Source organism: Homo sapiens, chromosome 10, assembly GCF_000001405.40.
Source record: "Homo sapiens chromosome 10, GRCh38.p14 Primary Assembly".
In the NCBI taxonomy this organism is placed as follows: domain Eukaryota; kingdom Metazoa; phylum Chordata; class Mammalia; order Primates; family Hominidae; genus Homo; species Homo sapiens.
Genome location: NC_000010.11, coordinates 2,292,009 through 2,317,207, shown reverse-complemented (window position 1 = coordinate 2,317,207; position 25,199 = coordinate 2,292,009). Strand labels below are relative to the sequence as shown.

The window sequence follows — 25,199 nt, the reverse complement described above, 5'->3', positions numbered from 1 at the left end:
CCAGCACTTTGGGAGGCCGAGGCGGGCAGATCACGAGGTCAGGAGATCGAGACCATCATGGCTAACACGGTGAAACCCCCTCTCTACTAAAAACACACACACACGAAAATTAGCCGGGCTTGGTGGCGGGCGCCTGTAGTCCCAGCTACTCGGGAGGCTGAGGCAGGAGAATGGCGTGAACCTGGGAGGCGGAGCTTGCAGTGAGCCGAGATCGCGCCACTGCACTACAGCCTGGGCGAGAGCGAGACTCCATCTCAAAAAAAAAAAAAAAAAAAAAGAATATTTATATTTATTTGCCATTTGTGGTTTATAAAGAACTGTGCCAGCTATTTGAGACATACAGAAAATCATTGAGTATCCTTAATTGAATTTACTTCCTAATTAGAAAAGTTCTTGTAATACAAATAACAATAATACAAAGTAAAACAGAACAAAACAAAATAAAACTGATAAGACAGCAATACAGACAGAAAGCCAGGAAAAATAGGGCCGCGTAGTCAGTGTGACCCTCTGTTGATCCAGAAAATGACATGATTCACAATTCCATGACGGAGTCCTCCTCTTCCATGGACGTAGGCTCCAAGCACAACGCCTTGAGCCGTGGTAATGTAGCCGCCCAGTGGGTTCACCTTGCCGGTTGCCTGGACTCAGCCAATTTATCAAGACAGGGAAATTGCAATAGAGAAAGAGTAGTTCATGCACAGCCAGCTGTGTGGGAAACTGGAGTTTTATTATGACTCAGATCAGATTCCCTGATCTGGATTCGGGGATCAGAGTTGTAAAGGATAATTTGGTGGGCGGGGAAGGCCAGTGAGTTGAGAGTGCTGATTGGTTTGGTCAGAGATGAAATCATAGGGATCCGAAGCTGTTTTCTCGTGCAGAGTCAGTTCCTGGGTGGGGGCCACAACGGATGAGCCAGTTTGCAGGTCTGGGTGGTGCCAGCTGATCCATCAAGTGCAGGGTCTGTAAAATACCTCAAGCACGGATCTTAGGAGCGCTTTAGGGAGGGTCAGAATCTTGTAGCCTCCAGCTACATGACGCCTAAACCATAATTACTAATCTTGCGGCTAATTTGTAGGTCCTACAAAAGCGGTCTAGTCCCCAGGCAAGAAGGAGGTTTGCTTTGGGAAAGGGCTATTATTGTCTTTGTTTTAAACTATAAACTAAGTTCCTCCCAAAGTTAGTTCAGCCTATACCCAGGAAGGAACGAGGACAGCTTGGAGGTAAGAAGCAAGACGGAGTAAGCTAAGTTAGAGCTCTTTCACTGTTTCTGTCATAATTTTGCAATGGTGGTCTCCTTAAGGGGCACACACACACTGCCTTCCTACGAGGGACTGGGACATTGGGGTTTCTCTGACTGGGGCTGATGCTTCTTTTGGAAACCTTAGACGAATTCTGTGGGAGGAGAAAAAAAAAATGTCTTTTTATTTCCTCAGTTAGAAAAATGGCCACCAAAGACACGCTTGCCTGGGAGCAGCACAATTAGGCCCCAGGCTTTCTGATGCGTGTTAAATAAAGCCAGTGAATTGATCAGAGGCTGTTTTGCACGTGGCATTGGTGTCTGCTGAGTGAGCAGCAGACCACTCACCACCAAAGAGTCTCTGTGGGGACCACGGTCCCACTGTCGATAAGTAATAAGCACATGTATGCATGCAAAATATCTCTTCCTAGGAATTGTGGATGGCTTACAATCAACACACCTGTCTAGTCAACTCACTCCTGGCCTTATATGTATGCACAAGAATGAAATGAGGTGAGCTTCATTCAATACCACTCGCCTTGTGCACAGAGCCTGTGATGGGTCACGATTGGGCGGGCAGTCACGTGATTCCTGGCTTCTAACTCCATGTAGCAGGTGGTCCACCTGGAAGGTGTGGATGGGAGTCTTCTTCGTGTGGACGGACTCTACAGACTGCATGCCCAGTCCTTCCGGAGGGGACGCACAGCACGCCGGGCACGCCCAGTCCTTCCAGAGGAGACGCACAGCACGCCGGGCACGCCCAGTCCTTCCGGAGGGGACGCACAGCACGCCGGGCACGCCCAGTCCTTCCGGAGGAGACGCACAGCACGCCGGGCACGCCCAGTCCTTCCGGAGGGGACGCACAGCACGCCGGGCACGCCCAGTCCTTCCAGAGGAGACGCACAGCATGCCGGGAATGAGCAGGCCCCTGTTCTTCGGTATTTCCTTTTTCTAGCTAATTTAACCAGAAATTGTGCCAAATCCTGAAAGCTTTTTAAAATTATTATTATTAAATAAGAATCTCTGATTCCCTGAGCCACGACACAGGAAACAAACAAACAAAACCATGGCTACTTCCAGAAGGTAGAACTGTGCTTCCTAGAGAAAAGTCTGCTCAGTGATTCATCGTTCTCTCTGATGAATGAGGGGTGCTTCCCAATGAGCTGCAGATTTCTCCTCTTTGCCCCCTCTTCTCTCTATCCCCTGAGTTCCCCCTCCATGCCCTTGGATGCTGCACCCACTTCCTACTTTCTGGAACTACGCTTTTCTCCAGCTAGCAGTGTCTTCTTTGAAATATAACTGACCTACCATTCTGACATCAGTTCTTCACTTATCTGTGATCCCGACCAATATCACAGAAGCTCAAGGGGAGGGTACACAAACAGAGAAGAGGATCAGATTTTTCCCCAGATTAAATTGAATGTTTAATATTAATCGTAATATTTAAAATTCAAATTTTCAATTATTATGCACTACCTCAAATAAATGTCCAATCGATCTGTGCAAATATCACTATTTAAAATTTACAGAAGAAGAAACTAAAATATAAATATTTTAAGACATTCATTCAAGAATAACATAATTGTAAGTGGCAGACCCAGAATATAAACTCACAACTCCCAATTCTTTTTTTTTTTTTTTTTTTTTTTGAGACAGAATCTTGCTCTTGTCGCCCAGGCTGGAGTGCAGTGGCACAATCTTGGCTCACCGCAGTCTCCGCCTCCCGGGTTCAAGCCATTCTCCTGCCTCAGCCTCCAGAGTAGCTGGGATTACAGGTGCCTACCACCAAATCTGGCTAATTTTTGTACTTTTAGTAGAGGTGGGGTTTTACAATGTTGGTCAGGCTGGTCTCGAACTCCTGACCTCAGGTAATCCACCCACCTCGGCCTCCCAAAGTGCTGGGATTACAGGCGTGAGCCACCAAGCCTGGTCCACAACTTCCAATTCTAAGTCTCCCCTGATTGTGGCATTCTGGCAGCCAGCATACAGGACTCACTGACGTGTGGATAAAGTCATCATATGTCACATATAAAAATAAACATTCAGTGACAAAATAAATGTTCATCAGCCAATTAAGAGGCAAGTTATTCATAGAGGTGTTATATTTCCAAACTTTGGGGCAATTACAGTGTTTAGATGTGGTAAGATTTAGTTTGCATTCTTAAGCACTTTGGAACTTAGCAGATGGTGTAAGTTATTTTATAAAACAGAAGAGATATTTTACAACTGAATCAAAATGTGTATTTTGATACTCCAGGTTTTACCAAGGAAATTAGATAATCCTGAATCTGTTTTGCTCTGTAGTTGTTTTTTTAATTAAAAAATTTAAATAAAGATTTTAAAATTATAAAAGTTTTAAATTTGCAGAAAAAGTACAGACAATACAGAGACTTCCCCTATATTACACACTCAGCTTCCCCTATTAATAATAACTTAACTTCATGTGGTACATTTGTTCTGATGAATAGACCAAGGTTGATTTTTATTAATTAACTAAAGCCTACCCTTTAATCAGGTTTACCTATTTTTTATGGGGAGTCCTGTCCCTTTCCCACAATCTCATAAGCAGGATCCATTTAATCCACATTACATTTAATCCTTGTGTCTCCCTAGGCTCTTCTTGGCCATGACAGTTTTCCAGACTCTTTATTTTTCATGACATTGTCAGTTTCGGGGAGGGAGTACTGGTCAGGACTTTTGTGGAATATGCTTCAGTTGGGATTTATCTGAGGTTTTTCCTCATGACTCGACAGGGTCAGGAATGCCTGGGAGCAAAATTACAGAAGTAAAGTGCCATTTTCATGAAACCATATTGCGTGTACATGCCATCATCACAACTTTGCCATTTTTGACGTCAAACGTGAGCACCTGGCTGAGATGGTACTTGTTGGGTTTCTCCTATGTAAAGTTCCTTTTTTTTTTTAACTTTTCTACTGTAATCTGGGAGGAAAGGATTATGCTCAGCCCACATTTACTGACTCCATAGGCCTTCCTTTTCCATCTTCATAGTTCTGCCAAAAGGTTATCTAACTGGAGTCACACAGTATATGGCCTTATTAGGCTGCTTTTCATCTAGCAATATGCACTGAAGAGTCATTCATATTTTTTTGGCCAGATATCTAATAATACTTTTATTATTGAATACTATTCATTGCATTGATATACTATAATGTGTTTATTTATTCACTAATTTAAGAACATCTTGATTGCTTCCAGTTTGTGGAGATAATGAATGAAGCTGCTAAAAATAATGTTTTTCACGAACAGAAGTTTTCAAATCAGTTGGGTAAATACCTAGGGACACAGTTGCTGGGTTCTAAGAGAAGACTATATTTAGCTTTGTAACAAATTTGTGAAGCTGTCTTCCAAAGTAGCTGTAACACTTCCAATCTCAGCTGCAGTGAATGAGAATCCCTATTGTTTCATAGGATTTCCAGCTTTAGTTATTGCCAGCTTTGAGGATTTTAGTCATCCTGTACATTGTAGTATTCCATTGTTATTTTAATGTGCAATTCCCAGATGACAAATGATGTTGGACATCTTTTCATATATTTATTTGCCATTAGTGTATTTTCTTCAGTGAGGTGCTTGTTTAGAACTATTGTCCATTTTTTCATTGAGTCGTTTTCTTACTGGTTGAAATAATTTTTGTGTATTTTAGAAATAAGTACTTTAGCAGATATAAATGTGTTTTCAAATATTTTCCCAGTCTTTGATTTGTCTTTTTATTCTCTTAACAGTATCTTTCAAAAAACAAAAATTTTTAATTTTTACTTTGATGAATTGTGCTTTTGGTGTTGTATCTAAAAATGCATCACCAAATCCAACAGCACCTAATTTTTCTCCTATGTTTTCTTCTAGTAGTTTTATAATTGTTCCTTGCACATTCCCATCTAAGTTCCTTTATTTATTTATTTATTTATTTATTTATTTATTTATTTATTTTTGATACGGAATCTTGCTCTGTCACCCTGGCTAGAGTGCACTGGGGCAATCTTGGCTCACAGCAACATCTGCCTCCCAGGTTCAAGCATTCCTCCCACCTCAGCCTCTCAAGTAGCTGGGATTACAAGCATGCACCACCATGGCTGGCTAATTTTCGTATTTTTAGTAGAAACAGTGGTTTCACCATGTTGGCCAGGCTGGTCTCGGACTCCTGACTTTAAGTTATCCACCCGCCTCAGGCTCCCAAAGTGTTTGGATTATAGGCGTGAGCCACTGTGCTAGGCCTCGGTTTCATTTTAAGTTAATTTCTGTGGAAAGCATAAGGTCTGTGTTTAATTGAGGTCATTTCTCCTCTTTTGGATGCCGGAATGTTCCAGGACCATTTGCTTAAACACTGCATTTTCTCAACTAAATTGCTTGGCTCCTTTTTTGAATAATCAGTAGACTACCTTTGTGTGGCTCTGCTTCTGGGTTCTCTGTTCTGTCCCATAGATCTATGTCCAATATGGTGCTGATTTGATTATGGTAGCTTCATACAAAGTGTTGAAGTGTGGTAGTGATGGTCTTGGAATTTGTTCTGCTTCAGAATCTTGTGGCTACTCCAGGTCTTTTGCCTTCCATATATACTTTAGAATCAGTTTCTTGATATCTATGAAATACCATGCTGGGATTTAGGCTGAGATTGGGCTGACTCTGTAGATCAGATTGGGGAGATTTGATAATAGTATAGAATCTTTACAATCCATGAACGTGGAATACCTCTCTAGTTATTTAGGGATTATTTTTCAATCTTTTATCAGAGTTCTGTGGTTTTCCACATACAGATCTGTGCATAGTCATTAGATTCATATGTAAATATTTATCTTTTGGTGCTATCGTAAGTTTTTACATTTTAAATTCTAATGACTTACTGCTGGTATACAGGTAGGCACTTGGCTTTTGTATATTAACTTTTTATCCCATGACCTCACTGCTCACTTACTAGTCCCAAGAGTTTTGGGGACAGTGTTTGGGATTTTCTCCATAATCAATTTTGTCATTTACAATGAAGACAGTTTTATTTCTTCCTTTTGAATCTGTTTATTTTCCTTCTCCTCTCTTGTCTTCTCGTTTCCTTTTCTCTTAATTGGCTGGTTCTTCTGGTACCTGCTGGATGTGAGTGGTGAATGAAGACATCACAGCTTTGTTCCTGGTCCTGTTGGTGAAGCATCCATCCCTCACCCTTAAGATGTGAGCTCTGCCTTTCCTGAAGCATTGACTTTCTTATCATTCTGTTATGTCCTCATTTATTTCTTTTAATCTTCCTTGTTCTGAAGTTTTTTTTTTTTTTTCGTCTAAAATTAATGCAGCTTTGCCACCTTTCTTTGACTGGTGTTTGCCTGCTGTATCTTCTTCTTTCCCTCTTCTTTACCCTGTCTGAGCCTGTGTATTTTCAATGGGTTTCCTCTAGATAACATAGAGTTAGGTTTTGGTCTTTTTATTTCTTCTGATCATTCTTTTAATTGCTGTATTTAAACTATTCACACTGAAGGTGACAGTTGCTGTAGGTAGGTCGATATCAGCCATATTAGTAACTCTTTCCTATTCATTGCCTGTGTTCTGTGCTCCCCCCTTTCCTGTCTTTTCTGGTTATTATTGAGCATTTTATATGATTTCATTTTATCTCCTCTCAGCATATCAATTATATTTCTTTTTAATTTTTGCCAGTTACCCTAAATTTTCCAGTATAGATTCTTTAATTAATGTAAGTCATGTTTCAAGTAGCGTCATATCACTTCCTGCGTAGTGCAGGGACTTTGTAAGCATTCTCCTGTCCTCCCTCTTCCCTTTTATGACATTGCTGTCACTCATTTCGCATATTTATGTTACAATACACCATTATTTTTATATTTATACCATTTTCTTTTAGTCAATTATAAGTGGAAAAATAAATATTTTATTTTACTTTTACTTATTCTTTCTTTGAAGTATTTTCTTTGTTATAAAGATTGGAATTTCTGACCTATTTTATATTTATTTTCTGCCTGGAAAACTGCTTTTAACATTTTTTGTGAAAGAGGTCTGATGGTGAAACTGAGTTCTCTTATTTTTGTTTGCCTTGGAAAGTGTATTTTTCTTCTCTTTCATGAGATGATTTTGCTCAAGGTAGAATTCAAGGCTGATGGGTTATTTTTTGTTCACTTTAAATGTTTCACTGCACTGTCTTTTTGATTCCATGTCTTCCAATGAGAAGTTTGCTGTACTTCTTATCTTTGCTCATTTTTAGTGAAGGTATCTCCCTATCCCTATCTCCACCCCAATTTCCTTCTAGACTTCACTTTTGTCTCTTGCTTTCTGCAGTTTTGATGTGAGAAGTAGGTATCCTTATTTCAGGACTTACACTACTTGTTGTTCTCTGTCCTGGATTTGTGGTTTAGTTCCTGTCATTAATTGTTGACAATACTCTACCATTAGTACTTCAGATAGTTTCTCTGTGTTTTTCTCTCTTTCTTCTTTTTCTAATACAACTATGCATATATTACACATTTTGAATTGAAGGCTTATGAGTTTGTAAAAAGATCTGACAATCAGCTAAAGCTATTTCCATAAAGATATTGTTTAAAGATATGCTTTTGTTTTGAAAAAATAAAGACTCCAAGGACATGACAAAATACTATCTCAAGTTGCTTTCTAGAGTAGAATTCTTCACCATTGATAGAACTGGGATATAGAGAGTGGTTTTCCTTACCCATTAGGGTAGGGTTGGCAACATTTTATCTCTTCCAGGTTTCCATATGCTCAATGCTTTCTCTAGGCTGTTGAACTTATAAAATGCAGTTACAAAACGACTTCAACTTAATGAGCTAATCTACTATTCTATTATCAAAGTCACTTTGGGGATGATTTTGAGTGATTGGTTATTATTTTAATTATGGGTCATATTTTCCTGCCTTTTAAAAATGTCTTCAGCCGGGTGCAGTGGTTCACGCCTGTAATCCCAGCACTTCGGGAGGCCGAGGCGGGCAGATTGCCTGAGCTCAGGAGTTCGAGACCAGCCTGGGCAACACTGTGAAACCCCATCTCTACTAAAATACAAAAAACTACCTGGGTGTGGCGGCATGCACCTGTAGTCCCAGCTACTCGGGAGGCTGAGGCAGGAGAATCACTTGAACCCAGGAGGCAGAGGCTGCAGTGAGCCGAGATCACAGCACCGCACTCCAGCCTGGGTGACAGAGCGAGACTCTGTCTCCAAAAAAAAAAAAAAAAAAGAAAAGAAAAGAAAAGAAAAGAAAAAAATGCCTTCTGAGATGTTTGTATGTCAGACCTTGTGTACTTGACCTTGGTGATGTTGGATATTTCTGTATTCTACCAAATATTCTAGACCTTTTTTCTGGGATGCAGTTAAGTGACTTAGATGTAGTAAACCTCTACCAGGTTTTGCCATTAAGCTTTGGTAGATAGAACTAGAACAGTATTTAGCCAAGTGCTAATTTCTTCACTTCTGGGGCCCTTCTGGGTAAACTCTCTCTGAGCATTAAGCTTGGGCAACCATAGGGCTCACCTCATCTGCTTCCCATCTCTCAGGAGCCACTGCCCCTCACTGCCTGATGTCCAGTAACTCTAATTTTATTGCTTCATGCAGTATTTTTCAGTTATTTCAGAAAAAAAAGCAAATCCAATCCCTGTTGCCTCATCTTAGCTGAAGTAGACTCTTGCTTGTGCATTTTTGGGGGTAAAACATTTGAATATAATTCTAACTTTGGATGGTTGTATAGTGTATGATAAAATGCAGAAGACATGCCTGGGAGGAGATGTACTGTTTCCTTCAGAACAAGGATAAAATTTTAGATTCTATTATGCCTCCAAGATTTAAAAAGTTTATTTCTATCTATAAAGAACAGAAAAATATCATCTAATTATATTTATATTAAAAGTATTGTTTGTCTTCTTATTAAATAACCCCTAAACATCTTATACAATGCTAGATTTATATAAAAATGCATATGACTTATTTATGTGTTTTGTTTAACCCTCATACAAGATATGCATATTTTGTTATCATTACAAAATAAAGAAGGAAAGCAAATTTGGATAAAAAGTGGCTTAATTAAAGTGATTACATAGTGAGTAGATAATCTGTAATATAAAACTATCAGACTTATTCCTGAATTTACTTCTCTTTCACTAAAACATTATGCTTTAAACACATTTTCTCTTTCACAAATTTGTTTAAAGAATAAGTTTGATTAATACATTTGTTACCTTTCCCTCTGATGTTTTACATTAAACTTAAGATGTGAAGCTTGAATTATTTTATGGTATTTCTCAAATAAAAGCCTTAACAACCTATGATATAATTACAAATCATACCTATAAGGCCTCATTGAAAGAGCCACAAAGGGAACATTTAAGTTAATAACCCATGGTTAGTATTTGAAAGAAAAACTATTAAGATTCAAGCTCAGTGATAAAGCAGGCCTGTTTCAGTAAAAGTTCTAAGAGAAAAATATGAGTCCAAACTCCTAAGGAGATTATACTGCTATAGATTGGAACATAAATGCCCAAGAAGACAGATGATGAATATCCTTTAAAGTTTGTGAATCTTTAAATGCAAGCTGGAAAAATAAGCCTGCATTGAATTTTTATGATATTCTCTGCTTACTGGATCCGATAAAGCATAAAATCAATATTTTTTCACAGAATTCAGTTATTATTGTAATTTCGAGTTAGAACTTGATAATTAAATAAATGTAAGTGCTTTTCTTTTCTAAACCATTTGGAAAAATTATTATAAAAACCTTATGCAGATATCGATTGAGACACATAGTAACCATACACATAATCTTTTTTAGTACATCACTAGATTCTCCACTGGTAACCTTAATAGAGACTAAGATGAATGCTAATTTAGATACATTTGGTGGAAAACAGCTCTTTCCTCCATTGAGATATGATTAATAATTATAATACATAATGCCTAAACACTGTCTAATGAGCCTGAAAACACTAAGTTAAATAAACACATTAACCTTGTAGCCTGAGTTAGAGTTAGCATTCTATAGAACCAGACATTTCCCCATGGCACATGCAATATTAATGAGATTTCACGCCTGGACTAAGACAAAAGGCTTTCCTTCTTGCAGTTCTATTTCTTTCAACATTGGTTATCAATGCAGGTGCAAAAATTTTAGTTGAATAGTAATTTTATTCTGAGAGGAAATAGATAACAGGTCATGGTAGGGAACCTCATTGTAGAGGGTTAGTTTGACTGCAAACTTGCAAGGGCTGTTTAGGAGGAAGATAGACAGGTGGAAGTCACCACTGTTCCTTCAAAACTTCGTCTAGAATTGTCTTCAGACAAGTCTCATTCACAAATTCAAGACAGCCTGGCTGACATGTCGAAACCCTGTGTCTAGTAAAAATACAAAAATTAGCTGAGCATGGTGGTGGGCACCTGTAATCCCAGCTACTCGGGAGGCTGAGGCAGGAAAGTCACTTGAACCCGGGAAGCTGAGGTTGCAGTGAGCCGAGATCACACCACTGCACTTCAGCCTGGATGACAAAGAGAGACTCTGTATGCCCCCAAAAAATAAACGATAAAAAAGAAGGCTTTTCTTCTTTGAGTGATAATGTTCTTTATTGATCTCAAAAAATTGTAAATAATTCTGTTTGGCATAGAGACACCAGTCTAGTAAGATAATCACTTCTCATTTTCATCTCTCTACATATACAGGAACAAACCATCTGGAGAAAGAGCTGGAATGGAGCCCATCAGGTCTGCTGTTACATTTAATTTAGCCAGTTTTTATATGATGTGAATTGCATTTGAATCCCTGATCACTCTTAAGTCACTGATTTGAGTTCTGCACTGCAGTGTATTATAGTTTAAATACTGATGAAAGATATATGTTTATTTGTGTTTATGACTTAAATTGCCCATATCATTCAATAGAAAAAATAAATTGAATTAGAATAAATTCAGTCAAATGGCAAACATATTCTATATATGCATAATGTTATAGAGTTAAAAAAAAGCATACATTATGTTCTGCCATTGGCCCCTTATAATGTCGTGAGGAAAACAGACATTAATATAGTCAACAATAACGTCCTCAAAATATGATGACTTGTAATTCTTGACCAGATCTTCTTCATTCTTTCTGTCACATTTTAGTTAATTCTTTCATCAATCCTCACAGAGATATTGCAATAATTTCCAAGTGGATCCTTTTGTCTGAAGATTTTTCCCCCTTCAAATTATCTCTAAGAATGATCTCCTGTTTTTATCCCAATGCTAAGCCTCCAGTGGTGCTTCACTGCTTCAGGAAGATGCATGGCTCAGCAGGACACACAGGGCTCAGCAGGTCACAGCCATAGGTAAGCAACCAAAGCACCCTAGACCCCACCACCTCTTTGAATAAAATTACCCAGTCATGCCAGGCTTCTCACCTTTCCCAGAAGGAGTAGTACTTCACACACACACACACACACACACACACATGCACGTGTACACACATATATACAAACACATTCAGACACATACGCATGCACATACACAACACACACATGCACGCTACACATACACATACATACACACATATACAGATACACACATACACACACGCACATACACACACACTACACATACGCACACACACACACATATATGCATGCGTGCATCCCTCTTTCTGTGGCATCCCTGACTTTTTGGAGATTGAGTCATTTAATTATTTGTTTAAATGGCTTTGTAAATGTTCTAATGTCCAGAATATTTGCTAGACAATAACAACGTTTTCCATGGTTTATTAAGTAAATAATTGTCCTAATAGAAATATAAATTGTTACAGAAGTGCATAAAATGAAATTATTTTTCCAAATGGAGTTAAATAAGAGTATATTGAAGGAATTATATATATTAACCTTGTCTTCAAAAATGAGTAGATTCTCACGGGCAAAGACGAGAGGATGGATAAACAAGGATTTGCCAAGGAGAAGAGGCCAATGTCATATTTTCTCCCTCAGTGTGTCCGGATGGGATTGGAAAGTCTCCCTGGCCCACATAGGTAAGAATTCTGTTGCTCATCTTCTGCACACCCCACCTCTATTCTCCCTCACTTACTCAAGCCTAGGTTTATCCAAGCCAGCCAAGTGGCCAGGTAGATAATTGTATTTCTTAAATTCTTTTGAAGTTATGCCTGCCTACTTAACACATCTCTGGAAGAAGGCATACTGAGATTTCCGAGAAAACATTGCTTTCTGTACATGGATGTTGCCTTCTCTTTTACTGTATCTCCTTCCCTTCTTTGGCAAGTTGTCAAAGCATGGTGGATGATACAGTGGATAAAAGAGGCTGCAGTATGAGCTGATAAAATGATATCAGCAATAAACTGTATGCATAGTTCTTGTTACTAAAAAAAAAAAAAGTCATCAGATTTGCTTAATTTACTGTTTGTTTTTTACAAAAAAAACAGTTTTTGACCAAAACAAGTTGATAATAGATATTGCCATAGACTAAGAAAAAAGACATGTAATACTCCAGTTAATAAAATATTTGGAGATGCATTTAGCAACTTCTAGTTTTACTAGTAGCCTAGTTACTGTCTTGGGGACCCACCAATCAGCTGATAATGTGTGTGAAATATGAAGAAGTATATTGACAAAACATACCGGTGATTGATTTTGGCCCAACATCAAACTAATAGCACATTGAAAACAGGGTATCAAGAGTCAGTAATGAAGGTCTTTTTGACAAAAGCTAGAAGACGTTGTATCAGTGTTAATATTTACCATCCCTTATATGAATACACGGATTGATACATAGAATCACAATAGAACCTGGATTCACTATGACCCAACCAATCAGATCACTCAGTTTTGGAGAATAAACTTTTTGAGGAAAATTTGAAACTGCTGGCTGTAATAAGTATTTAGCCAGTAGTTTCAAAGATTTTGGTGTGTATCACCCTATCTTCGGAAAGCAAATAATGTAACCATCTTAACTAAAAGAAAATTAAATCAATAAGCATTTTGCATGAGAAGCATGCAGTTGGGTGCTGAATTTGAATGTGTGAAGCACTCTACAGCAGAGAGAAAATGTTAAGTACACTTTTAAAAACCAGGTACAGTGTCATCAGGAGAAAGGGCAATTCCATGCTACTAAATACAATCAAATCAAAACCCGAGAACACATAGCAAGAAGATCTTAAACCTGAAGACAAGTCCTTAGATGCTTCTGGCATTGCCTCTACTCACACACCAAGTGGGTGTGGTGGTGCCTGGTTCATATCTTCGGGAACTCTCTTTCTTAGGACTACAATGTGTTTTCTCAGTTTGCCAAAGGATGCCGTCTGCCTGCAGGTGCGCTGTGGGTTCAACTCTGACCCCTGATGCTGCCTTTTTTAGGGTGTTTCCTCTGCCCCAAGGGTTGGACCAATGGGAACTTCTTTCTGGAGATCCCTTGCCAGTTGGGTTTGTTTATAACCCACCAATGAGAAGCTTTGAAGATATTTCAAAGATGAAAGAGAAGCAGAAGCCACATTGTGACTCCCCCAAAGGCACAGGAGGAATGGTCAAGACTCAACAGACAGGAGAATGTGGAGCAAGCTGGGGCTTCCCTGCAGGGCTTGGATGATCTCTGCTGCTCTCCTGTGGCTTCTGTAGTTTCCCGGTGCTCTGCAAGTGATCAGCCAACGTAAGGTGATGCCTTGGAATTCCTCAACTCTTTTATTGCTTTTGTGGGCACCACATTTCCTGTGTTAGAGTCCCTCCTGCTCAAGATACCAAAAGTGACACCACCCTAAGATAGGGAACCACAGACCTTGAACTGCCTTGAATACCCTCAAAATGACCAAGTGTTGAGGATTTCATTTACTCACTGAAATTCCTTACTTTGACTGAAATCTACTGCATCGTTATTTTTTAGTAAATTTCTCATTGTTAAATAATGGTAATTAAATCCACCATGTAAGCCATAGAGGAAAATAATTTCAGTATACTTTAGTATCATATTAACAGAAAATAAATGCATGGACCTTCAATGGATCCAATACTAGCCATCATTTAACCAACTGTCAATAAAGAGGTGCTTGTGATATCATTCTACCCATATGTGCCTTACTTAGCTTTTTGGGGAGGAGATCGTGGATAAAATGTGCTATTTTAGAAATTAGAAGATCCGACAAGGATAGAATTATCCATCTAAATGGCTCATTTAATAACTCCAGTGGAGGTCCTTGAAGACTATTTCTCTTCACTCTACTTCCTTATTTTGCTCCAAAAAAAATCTGGCTTAAGACAGGTTCCTGAGAAGCAGAGTTTGAAATAGAGGTGCTTGTGTAAAGGGTATATTGAGGAGTGCGGTCAGCAGAGACCAGTGAGAAAGCAAAAAAGCAGGACAAAGCAGGGGACTAAAATACCCACAGTGGGGTGTAGACTGCAGCCTGGTTTAGCTGGCTCCCATGCGAAGCCCCGGGGTGTGCACAGCATCCCACAGCCTTTCCACCTTGAGACCAAGGGACTTCCAGACCTTCTTGTCAGTTTGCTATAGGCTGTAGGGTGCCCCTAATTGGAAATGGACACAATCTCCCAAGCATTTCTCAGGAGTCAGCCCATGCCAGAGTGAGGGCAACTGTCTGGGAAAAATTTTTTAAAGCAGCTATGAGTGGTTAGTACTTAAAACTCACAACAGCTGAGGCCTGGAGTTAGGGTCCCTTGAAGGGAATCAAGGCAAGTCACTATAACGTTAATCCACTATCAGAGTCATTGCTGTTTTTGAAGAAATTGCATGTGTTTCTACAGCCTAGGCATCAAAAGGACATGAAAGATGAGCTCATAGGTGTTCCTGATTCTTCTTTCTCCATCATCCTATTTATTACTGATTATTTGATGCCTCCACTTTACTTTGTTTTTCTCCTCTGATGTCTTTATGTAAGCATAAGGAAATGCAAATACACAGCCGCATGCACCCTTTGCTTTCCTTCTGTGCAGGATCCAGGACAGCACAGCATGTCGGAGTTCACTGCTCACTGTTCACTGTGATGTCAGCCCATCTGCATTGCCATAAAGTAATCTCTAAGACTGAGTGATTGATGAAGAACACAGGTTTGTTTTGGCTCATGGTTCTGCAGGCCATATAGGAAGCACAGTGCTGGTATCTGCTACTGGTGAAGCCTCAGGAGGATTCCAGTCATGGCAGAAGGCAAAGGGAGAGCCAGCATGTCCCACAGTGAGAGAGAGAGCAAGATAGAGAGTGAGGGAGAGCCAGCGTCCTTTAAACAACCAGGGCTTGCATAGACTTACAGAGTGAGAACTCACTGGCTTCCATGGAGTGAGTGCCAAGCCATTCGTGGGGATCCACCCACATGACCAAATGCCTCCCGTCAGGCCCCACCTCCAACACTGGAGATCACATTTCAACATGAGACTTGGAGGGGACAGATACCCAAACAATGTCATATGCTTTGCTTTTCTCACGTGCGACTATATTCTAGAAGTCTTTCCATGTCAGTACACAGAGACTATCCCCATTATTTCAGCTGTGCCAAGGAAACATCATTGACCGAGATAGCCATTTCTCACTGGACTGTCACTGTAGAGACATTAGCTCATCCATGTTCGTAAAACTCCATTCACGTGGACACACATCGTGTGTTAGTGCTGCTTCATCAGATATCATGTTAGCAAGCAGCCAGTGCAAAAAAAAAACTCAACCTACGTGAAGCACCAACATATTGGCCATCCTGGATGTGTGTTGTGAAATCAGGTGCATGTGACGTAGACATACCTGTGAAAAATTGCATTTTAGATGTATTTGTTAATGAAACTACAAATAATGTTAAAATTTTTAATGCAACTCAAAAATAGTCCAACAGATGGACTGTGCAACGAAGGAATAGAAATAAATAAAAATCATGAAATGTCTCATTGTTCTTCCCTGCTATGAATAAAAACAAGAATTTTGAAACACTACAGTATGCTCATGTCATAAAACATAGTTCAATTTATGTCAATTGAATGTAATAGTCTTCTGATTGGCTTACATCCCATTATATTAAACTTCATTTGTATCTATCTCCGACCTTTGATAAATCAGCTCTTGGCAAAAGCCTAAGGATAAGGGATACTTTATGATACACCATCACAGAACACCTGATCCGACTGGTTTTCTCTTGTGCAGCCATAAACCAAATTCCTATTGATGACTGATACAAGTGAAATTTTACTGCACTATGTTCATCTTTATATTCTGTGATGAAGAAAACATCCTGATCTATGAAAGATAAATATGCTTATTTTGCGATTCTTATCAACATGTATCACATTGAATAGAAACAGTAATAATTAATAATAATAATAAAGTGCCAATATGTGTATATTCTCAAGTTAGTGCAAAATGTATCTTACTGAAAATTGCTTGAATTAGAAAAGCAAGCCAAGAGGGCCTCTTCCTCTCTGGGGTATTGCAGTCTTTAAAAAGCTTGAGACTGTGGAACTTGATACTATTCATCCTCCTTTTTGACCTTAGCCAAGAAAACCTTCTTACATGCTTGTCTCTTGCCCAAGTAGATTAATGAATTCAGGATATAATAGATCCCTGAAGTGATTTGCATGTATTGATTAAATGTCATGAGTAAAATGCTGGAGGTTGAATTACTAGAGACACAGGAAGTGCAGAAAGCACAATTGTAAGCATTGTTCAAATAAATTACTTGGCAATTCTTCTTGACATATGATTATATTCTTTACATTTACCCCAACAGCTGCGTAGGTAGTGAGAGTGTGTTGTGTAACCGCAAGAGAGAAAGACGGCTGAGGAGGGGCTCTATCACTTTGGGGGACTTTGGCTCTAGAAAATTCCTCATTATTTTCCCAGAACTATAAAACAAATGACCCTTGGTTCTAAGATTAAAGAACATTTAATAAGAAGCAGACATTTCAAAATAGAGACTGGCAGGAAGTGCACAAACAAAACTGAACTGCAATTAGAAGACTTTGTTGTAGACCACCTCAACAATGTTGACTGAACATGGAGAGGGATGAATGAAAAATAAAGCCCCCCACTAGGCTAAGAGGGCCCTAGACAGAGAATATATTTACACAAGGCAAATAGTAGCTTATGTTAAAGTTCACTCAGGTACCAGTGTCCAGCACCCTTAGTCCTCTCTTTGCAGTTCCTTAGAACGGTTCTCTTAGTTCGGCAGTTTGTTAAAGTTCACGCAGGTCCCAGTGTCTGTCTGCCACCCTAGCCCTCTCTCTGGAGTTCCTTAGAATGACTCTCAGGTGGGCAGTTTTGGGTCAGCTTCTGCCAGGTCAGAAGAGCTCCAGGCTTCCTTTTCACATGTTTATCCCAAACAACACAGGAAGCCACATCACTTATTTCCTGGCACCAGTTCATGCCTTGCCCAACAATGCATCCCATGACTGTCACCCCATGCAGAGCTAACTTTAGTTTCTCATAGGTAAGATAGGTCTAGTGACCTAGTATTTCTTCCTATAGGGGTGTTTGATATGAAAGAGGAGATTTTTAACCAGAGCCATTCCAAGAAGACCACATCTTGTCCTAACACACAGAGACATATCAATTTAAAATTGCATAAGACCACGTACAAAACAGGAGACCAGAAAGCATCCAGGAGGAAAACAATAAAAGCTTTAACAAACAGACCTAAAGGACATCAGGAAAAGAATAGTAAGCCTCTGGAATCCTCATCCTCAGCACCAGTACCAGGAGACAATATACACGTACATTCAAAGTTCTGAGTACAGAGGATGTTTGTACCCAGAATTCTGTGTAAAAGAGTCTACAGAATTCTGATTAGGACATTTTTTAAGAGTCCATATCTAGCTGGAGGCTGAAACCTCTGTCATTTGAAGTGTTGCAGAACAAGGAATTCAGAATGCAATTAAGTGGTATCAACTTAGTAAAGGGTCTGACCTGTTTACTCGTTTGCAATCTAACATGTTCAGCAATCACAACTTCATAAATGATGGTAGCATGACCTGAGACTCCTGAGTCAGAGACAAAGAAGGTGCTTACTCCTGACATAGCAGGCAGCATGAGAATCTGTTCAGAGAGGCCCTTTTTGCTTGCTTGCTCACCAAGTCTGACGTGAACACTAAGGGGTGACCAGATGAATGGTGCTGATGGAGTAGGTTTTTGACTGAGTGAGGGACCCAAATGGATGATCCTCAGTCTCAAAAGGAGACATGAACAAAGCTGCCCAAGCTTTGCCCTACAGGAAGACGTTATCTTTACTGTCCTGGTCAAGGAACAAATCTGCCCTCTGCCCTGGAGAGAGACACTGTCTCTGGCCTCCCAGGCTGTTGGCTGTAAGAATATCCGTTAGAAAGTGTTGTAGTACAAAAGCTGTCACAGAATGTGTGGAAATGCTGTGGGCTGTTGTCTCCCAACAAGGAGGATCAAATGCTTGCTTGACATGGAGGGCGGATGCATTTCAGGCAGTGAAGGGAAGGATATTCAATACCTACGTGGATCAAGGCCACAGTGAACCAAGCGGGGCTCATTTGCACCCATGTGATGACTTAGAAAATGTTTCATGGGCATGCATTCCTAGAAAAGTAATTTTTTTTTTGAGATTGGGTGTTCTTTCTTACTGAGGCTGGAGTGCAGTGGCACGATCGCGGCTCACTGCAGCCTGGACTTCCCAGGCTCAGGTGATCCTCCCACCTCAGCTTCCTGAGTAGCTGGGACTACAGGCACACACCACTACTCCCAGCTAATTTTTGTACTTTGTGTAGACACAGGGTCTCACCATGTTGCCCAGGCTGGTCTCCAATTCCTGGGCTCAAGTGATTCACTCACCTCAGCCTCCCAAAGTTCTGGGATTATAGGCATGAGCCACCATGCCCAGCTGAGAATTAATTTTTTAAAATGTATTTCAACAAAGTGAGCTGGAAACCAAGAAACACCAAAAAATAGATCCACAAAACAATTATTGTGACCCAAAAATTCAAGAAAGAAAAATCCTAGGATGACAGCTACTCACAAACTTTAAGAACAACCATTCCAGACTGAATTCTGAGGCAGAAGGAGGTGACAAGAAAGTCTAAAGTCAATCAGAGGCCTTGATAGAAGTGTAGCAGAGTGAATGCCAGAAAGCAAACATTCCCAGATACAGCAATGCACACACTGAGACTTGTAAAATTCAACCCAAAAGTTAAAAAAGTGTCTTATTAAAGGTCACATGCCAACCAAATATGATATATCCAGTCCGCTGTAGAAGATGAAGCCAATGGGTTTCCACACAAAATCAAAAATTGTCATGAGGATAAAATGAATAAGGTGGCATTTTTTCATTTGACTTTTTACTAATTGAGTAAAGGCATTTTAGGTTTAAGTGAAAAGGGAATGTGGCATACGAGTATTCACACAGTAAGAAAATGGAGGTAATCAGAAACTTCATGAAAATAATTAGTTTTCAAAGAGTTATGAACCAAATGGATAACAGTCTAAATGGTGGCGTTCGTTTGAGCAACTGGGTTTGCTCAAGAAAACAGAAGGGTTTTGAAACAATTCCTTGGGGAAGTGGTCAGATTGTGCCTCACAATCTCTGAAATTATTAACGATGCTAATAATGAAGGCTGCTGGTTGTTTTTTCTTTTGAAATTAATCTGTAAACAAAACACACAATCTTATTTTGGGTTACAAAAATAATATAAATGTAATTAATCCTGTGAAAGTAAAAAAAAAAAAAGAAAGAAAAACTTGAAAGATATTTAAAAGCCATAGGCCGGGTGCAGTGGCTCACGCCTGTAATCCCAGCACTTTGGGAGGCTGAGGAGGGCGGATCACGAGGTCAAGAGATCCAGACCATCCAGGCTAACACGGTGAAACCCTGTCTCTACTAAAAATACAAAAAAAAAAATGAGCCGGGCATGGTGGCGGGTGCCTGTAGTCCCAGCTACTTGGGAGTCTGAGGCAGGAGAATGGCCAGAACCCGGGAGGCGGAGCTTGCAGTGAGTGGAGATTGTGCCACTGCACTCCAGCCTGGGCGACAGAGCGAGACTCCATCTCAAAAAAATAATAATAATAAGCCAGAAGGTGGGAGAAGGTTATTAACCAAGTTAGGAATCTAGGGAATATTCTGTAAAGTTAGTGAAATAGGGCATGGAGTTTAAGAAAATATTATAAATTATGAACAAATTAAATATGTAGAATTAAAGTAACTATATAATTATACTGTAAGCAATGGAAAAGGGAATGGCAGGGAAGAGTGTAGACAAATTCTACTTTTACTCCTCAGAGAAACAAGTCCCTAGATAAAGCTGATGAATTAAAAAATAATTACATGTGTCACATGGCAACCCTGGTAACCCTCATATGAAATTCTAAGTGAAGTCACTAAATGTGGGAGTCTCCCAGCAGCTGGGTAGGCTGGAGAGGAGGATGGGGAGGAAAGCGTGGATTTTAGTATGCGGCCCTGTGTTATTTGCTATTCTGATTTTTATTTTTGTTAAGAGCTAATCTAGAAGACAAGATATTTCTGAATATGTCATGCATAGCTTAATGCTGGGGCTATGTTCTGAGAAATGCATTTTTAGGTAATTTTGCCTTTTGTAGGAACATCATAGAGTGAACCTGCGTAAACCCAGATGGCAGAGGCTCCAGCACACCTGGGCTCTGGTGTACCCTGTTGCTCCTGGCTACAAACCCAGGCAGCCTGGGGCTGTACTGAATACTGCAGGCAATTTGCAACACAATGGTAAGTAAGCATTTGTGTTTCCAAACATATCAACGCATAGAAAAGGTACAGTGAAATATGGTATTATAATCTCATAGGACCACAACCAAAACCTCTTTATGGGACACATGACTGTATTACGTAGCTAATTATTTAAGCGATGAGAAAAGGACTAGAAATGTTCAAGGGTCTCAAACTGAAGACAGGCTTCTTCCATCATAATCATTCGTGAATCTTGTTAAACAGATAGATCCTCTAGCAACACCTGAATTCATCTTCAGTTGGTCTGGAATTCTGTGCAGGAATCTTCATTTTTAACAGACTTTCCTGGTTACCCTGCTGCGCAACTCATTCCGATAGGCACATCAAGTATTCTCCACCACGATTCCCATTGGGCTGAAACTCCCTAATGTAATCATCCCTAAAAACTGGGCAGCTTACACTGCTTTAAAAATTGCCACATAACTTAATATTGACTATAGTAATTGTTTTGACTAATGCGCTTGAAAATACTTACCTTTAATTCAGTCTCTTCCATTTCCTGAGACCCAGATTGGCTCTCAGGAGAAAACTGCATTGCAATGCGTGGCACTGGAATTGCTTACTTCTCACCTCTGGGAAGTGTGGCTTCTGTCTTGTACTGTAGTGTTGTTCTTCAGTTCCTGTTATTGATTACAAATGACATTGGCAATAATCATCACACAGATGCAAGCTAACCCATCCTGATGTATGTCAGATGGATAGAAGTTTTGTGTGATCTGTAGATGACAAGACCATTCACAGGATGCCTTAGGATCCAATTCCGTCTGCTGCACAAAGGAAGGAATAGACAAATGTGTCCCAACGATCCAATGGTATCAGCCATTCCCTTCCTGTAAGTGTGTGTCTGTGTGTCCCTCTGCACTCACTGGGTGTGTGAAGAAGCCATGTCTCTTCTCCCTGCTTGGATTTAACCCTCCTCTCTGCTGCTCTGTTTTCTTTTGTCTTTCCAAGGTTGACTTTAAGTCCAAGGAGGTGTGCCCTCGCTAGGCAGCACTGTGTTCCCACCCTTAGCTCCCTAAGCGAGCAATATGGAATCCTTTGCTACTTTGAGCTTCCTGGATAATTACCAATTTGTAACTTGATAAATGATTGGTCTTTTCAAGTTTCATGGTTGAAATCAATAAGTGGCATTTTCATTGCTCAAGGAAAAAGGAAAGTAAGAAAAAAGTTACACAGAGCGCTATGAAAGGGTTAATATCTGCCTATTGGAAAAGAGAAGGAGAGAGAGAGTCCCCGAGGGCCATGCTTCATCTTACTGTGTATTGAAATGTGAGCTGCAACCAACGGTCTGGTTAATAACAATTCATGCAGCTGTCAATCTTTTTGACCAATCTCATCAATATTTTACTCTGCAAAATAACAACAATTAAGAATCAGGACCAGGAGATGCACTTGGGGCAAAAGTGTTTCTAACACAGTGATGAAATCGACAGTCCAGAGCCAGCATTTCCGACAGGCATTCAGAGAAAGGTTAGCCTGTGATTGTTCTCTCCGAACAGTAGGCATCGCAGCTCTTTACCATAAACGAACACCAATGCACTGCACAGATACTGTAACTGAGGTCTGTAGAATTCAGACAAAAGTGATTCTGGGACAGTGATGACACTAACCCAAATTCACATCTACTCAGGACGTACCTGGGCTGGGCACTGTTTGAAATATAAGAAGAATTCAAAATTAAACAATTTGAATGAAAACAAATCTTGCCAAATGTCTACTTGATATAAAAGCTAGCATGCAATGCATACCAAAAAAATCAGATCTCCATTTTTTAAAAATTTTACTTTAAGTTCTTGGATACATGTGCTGAACGTGCAGGTTTGTTACATAGGTACACATATGCCATGGTGGTTTGCTGCACCTATCAACCTGTCATCTAGGTTTTAAGCCCTGCATGTATTAGGTATTTGTCCTAATGCTCTCCCTCCCCTTCCCCCCCACCCCCTGACAGGCCCCGGTGTGGGATGTTCCCCTCCCTGTGTCCATGTGTTCTCACTGTTCCCAATTCCATTTGGAGAGGTTTTAAGAAAAGTGAAATTGGCCTCGTTGTATTTATCATCCTTATTAGTGAAAATGCAAGCTGCAAGGCATCATATTGAAAATTCTGTTTTACTTATTACATAAATGCTAGTAGAGCTTTTTTATATTTTCATGTTATTTTAGGTTCAGATTTTATGCCTTGTGCTTTTGCATTGATGTTCACCAACTAGAGACAACCGAAATTACACCTGCAGTCACAGTCCAAAGTTGGGTCCACTTTCCTCTGTGGAGCCAAAGAAAGCAGACACTGGGGAGCCCTGTGGGTAGGAAGGATGTAGGGTGGGGCTGCTCCAGGGTGACTCTGGGCAGGACCCAACATCTGGAAGGTACGGCTGCTCTGCATGGGATGTGGGCTCTAACTGGAGGTCACTTGGTGATTCCGTATCTCAGTAGCTTCCTGTCCCAGAGCTGGGAATGATCGCGGAGGCCTGGAGTTGTACTGGTAAGAAAATAGGGATCACTCAAAAAGAACACATTTTTTTTTTGCAGTTGTGCCTCTACCAATATTCTGATATCTATAATCTGATGAAACACTGTTTCTGTTAAAGAAATAGAGAAAATGGAAAAGCGAAGGTTTTGCCTAGCAAAAGGGAGTCGGACTCTTACAGAGGGGCAAGCAGCTAAACTTCCCAGCCAAAGTGGCTTTCCCTGCATTGGCTGCTCTCTCTGTTTGGATCTTCCCCTTTGCTCACGTTAGTGATGGTTTAGGATGAGTGACTTGAAGCAGGTACTGCATCAGGAAGGGATTTCAGCTGCAACCCACCAAAACCAACTCAGTTCAATTAAAAGAGAACAAGACATAGTTAAAGAACTTTAAGGAGGTGCTTAGTTTTACTGGAGAATCACATTTTTCCACTCACTTTCCCACTCTACCTGAAGGACGATGTCATGCCTTCTCCTTCTTGTCAAACTTGCAACCTAAATTCATAATTTTGTGTCGATCACACACACACACACACACACACACACACACGGAAAATACAATTAAAGCCATTAGAAAAGATGCCACTAGAACATTTGTCTACTTACTTGTATCTCAGTCCACAGTTTCAGTGGAAACTTTAGTCGGCATGGTGGCTGGCGCCTGTAATCCCAGCTACTCTGGAGGCTGAGACAGGAGAATCACTTGAATCCAGGAGGCAGAGGTTGCAGTGAGCTGAGGTGGTGCCACTGCACTCCAGCCTGGGTGACAAGAGTCAAACTCTGTTTCAAAAAAAAAAACAGAAAGAAAGAAAGAAAGCCTAAAGCAGTTGTTCATAAACATACAGGGGCAGAGTCATAAACATACAGGGGCAGAGATGGGTCTTTAACATAGATAGTCTGACTCTAAATTAGTTATAAATAATTTGTTATTAAATAACACACATCTATACAAAAATTCAAAAACAGTGTGAATCTAATTGTATTTGATATCTGAATTCCAAGTGTGCTGATTTTTGTCAGTAATCAATGTGATCTGGACCCTGTTCAACATTAAGAAGCACGAACAAGATCCTCAGGTAATTACTAAATGTGAAACGATGGCAGGAAACATTTATTCCTGCCTATTGGCGGAATCTCCTCTACTAATTTCTGGACAAGGTTGACAGTTGCATAGTGATGACATCAACTGGGCTTTGGAATTTAGTTGTATGTAGGGAGAGTGCATAAAATCCAATTGCAACACTTGGACTGACTTACCCATCTCCACGAATGCCTGGACTCATTGCAGGCCCCTAGCAAGGCCTGCAGTATTCTTCTAGAATGAAATATTTTCACCACAGTCAAGCAGAATAATGCTACTAAGGATGAGGATTGAATATACTGTATCAAAATTTCTATTTTTCATGATTGAGGCTAGCAAAAAGCAAAGGACCAAATCAATTTTCTGACCTGGTAAAATGACTTCATATCCTCCCAGAAACTGAAGACATTATAAATGTAATATATTTTAAACTTTCTTACACTAAGGTGTAAGGTAGAAAATACAATTATTTTGTTGGATACTTTAAAAAAACATCATATTTTCAGTTTCTACATTAGCAAGTATTAGCATTTTAAATAAAATAAAAACAATTTTAATAAAGGACATTGGTTATAATAATCTCTTTTCTAGCTATAAAATCGAATCTGCTTTAATGCTTGCATTTATGATGCTTTTGGTGAAAAACCATGCTGCATCATGGTCAGGAAAAGAAGTGAGGAATAGCGTTTAGAATGAATAGTGTTATAAGCATTTTAGCCTCCATTCGGAAATACCGCTTATCACTTTT

At 39.8% G+C, this 25,199-nt stretch overlaps 1 long non-coding RNA gene across 1 annotated transcript, besides 1 other annotated feature; it reads left to right on the top strand.

The window, feature by feature from the left end:
• Positions 1,438-2,637: an enhancer, noted in NCBI's record as "BRD4-independent group 4 enhancer chr10:2356765-2357964 (GRCh37/hg19 assembly coordinates)". NCBI's record gives its function as "activates an origin of replication core promoter dependent on BRD2, P300/CBP, MED14 and CDK7 cofactors, and independent of BRD4, by STARR-seq in HCT116 cells {active_cell/tissue: HCT116}" and the evidence as "EXISTENCE:reporter gene assay evidence [ECO:0000049][PMID:35650434]".
• Positions 2,134-16,889, top strand: LINC00701 (long intergenic non-protein coding RNA 701). The gene is made up of 3 exons (NR_038884.1): positions 2,134-2,178; positions 10,899-10,940; positions 11,472-16,889. It is a non-coding gene; the product is annotated as a long intergenic non-protein coding RNA 701 (long non-coding RNA).
• The last annotated feature ends 8,310 nt before the right edge of the window (positions 16,890-25,199 follow it).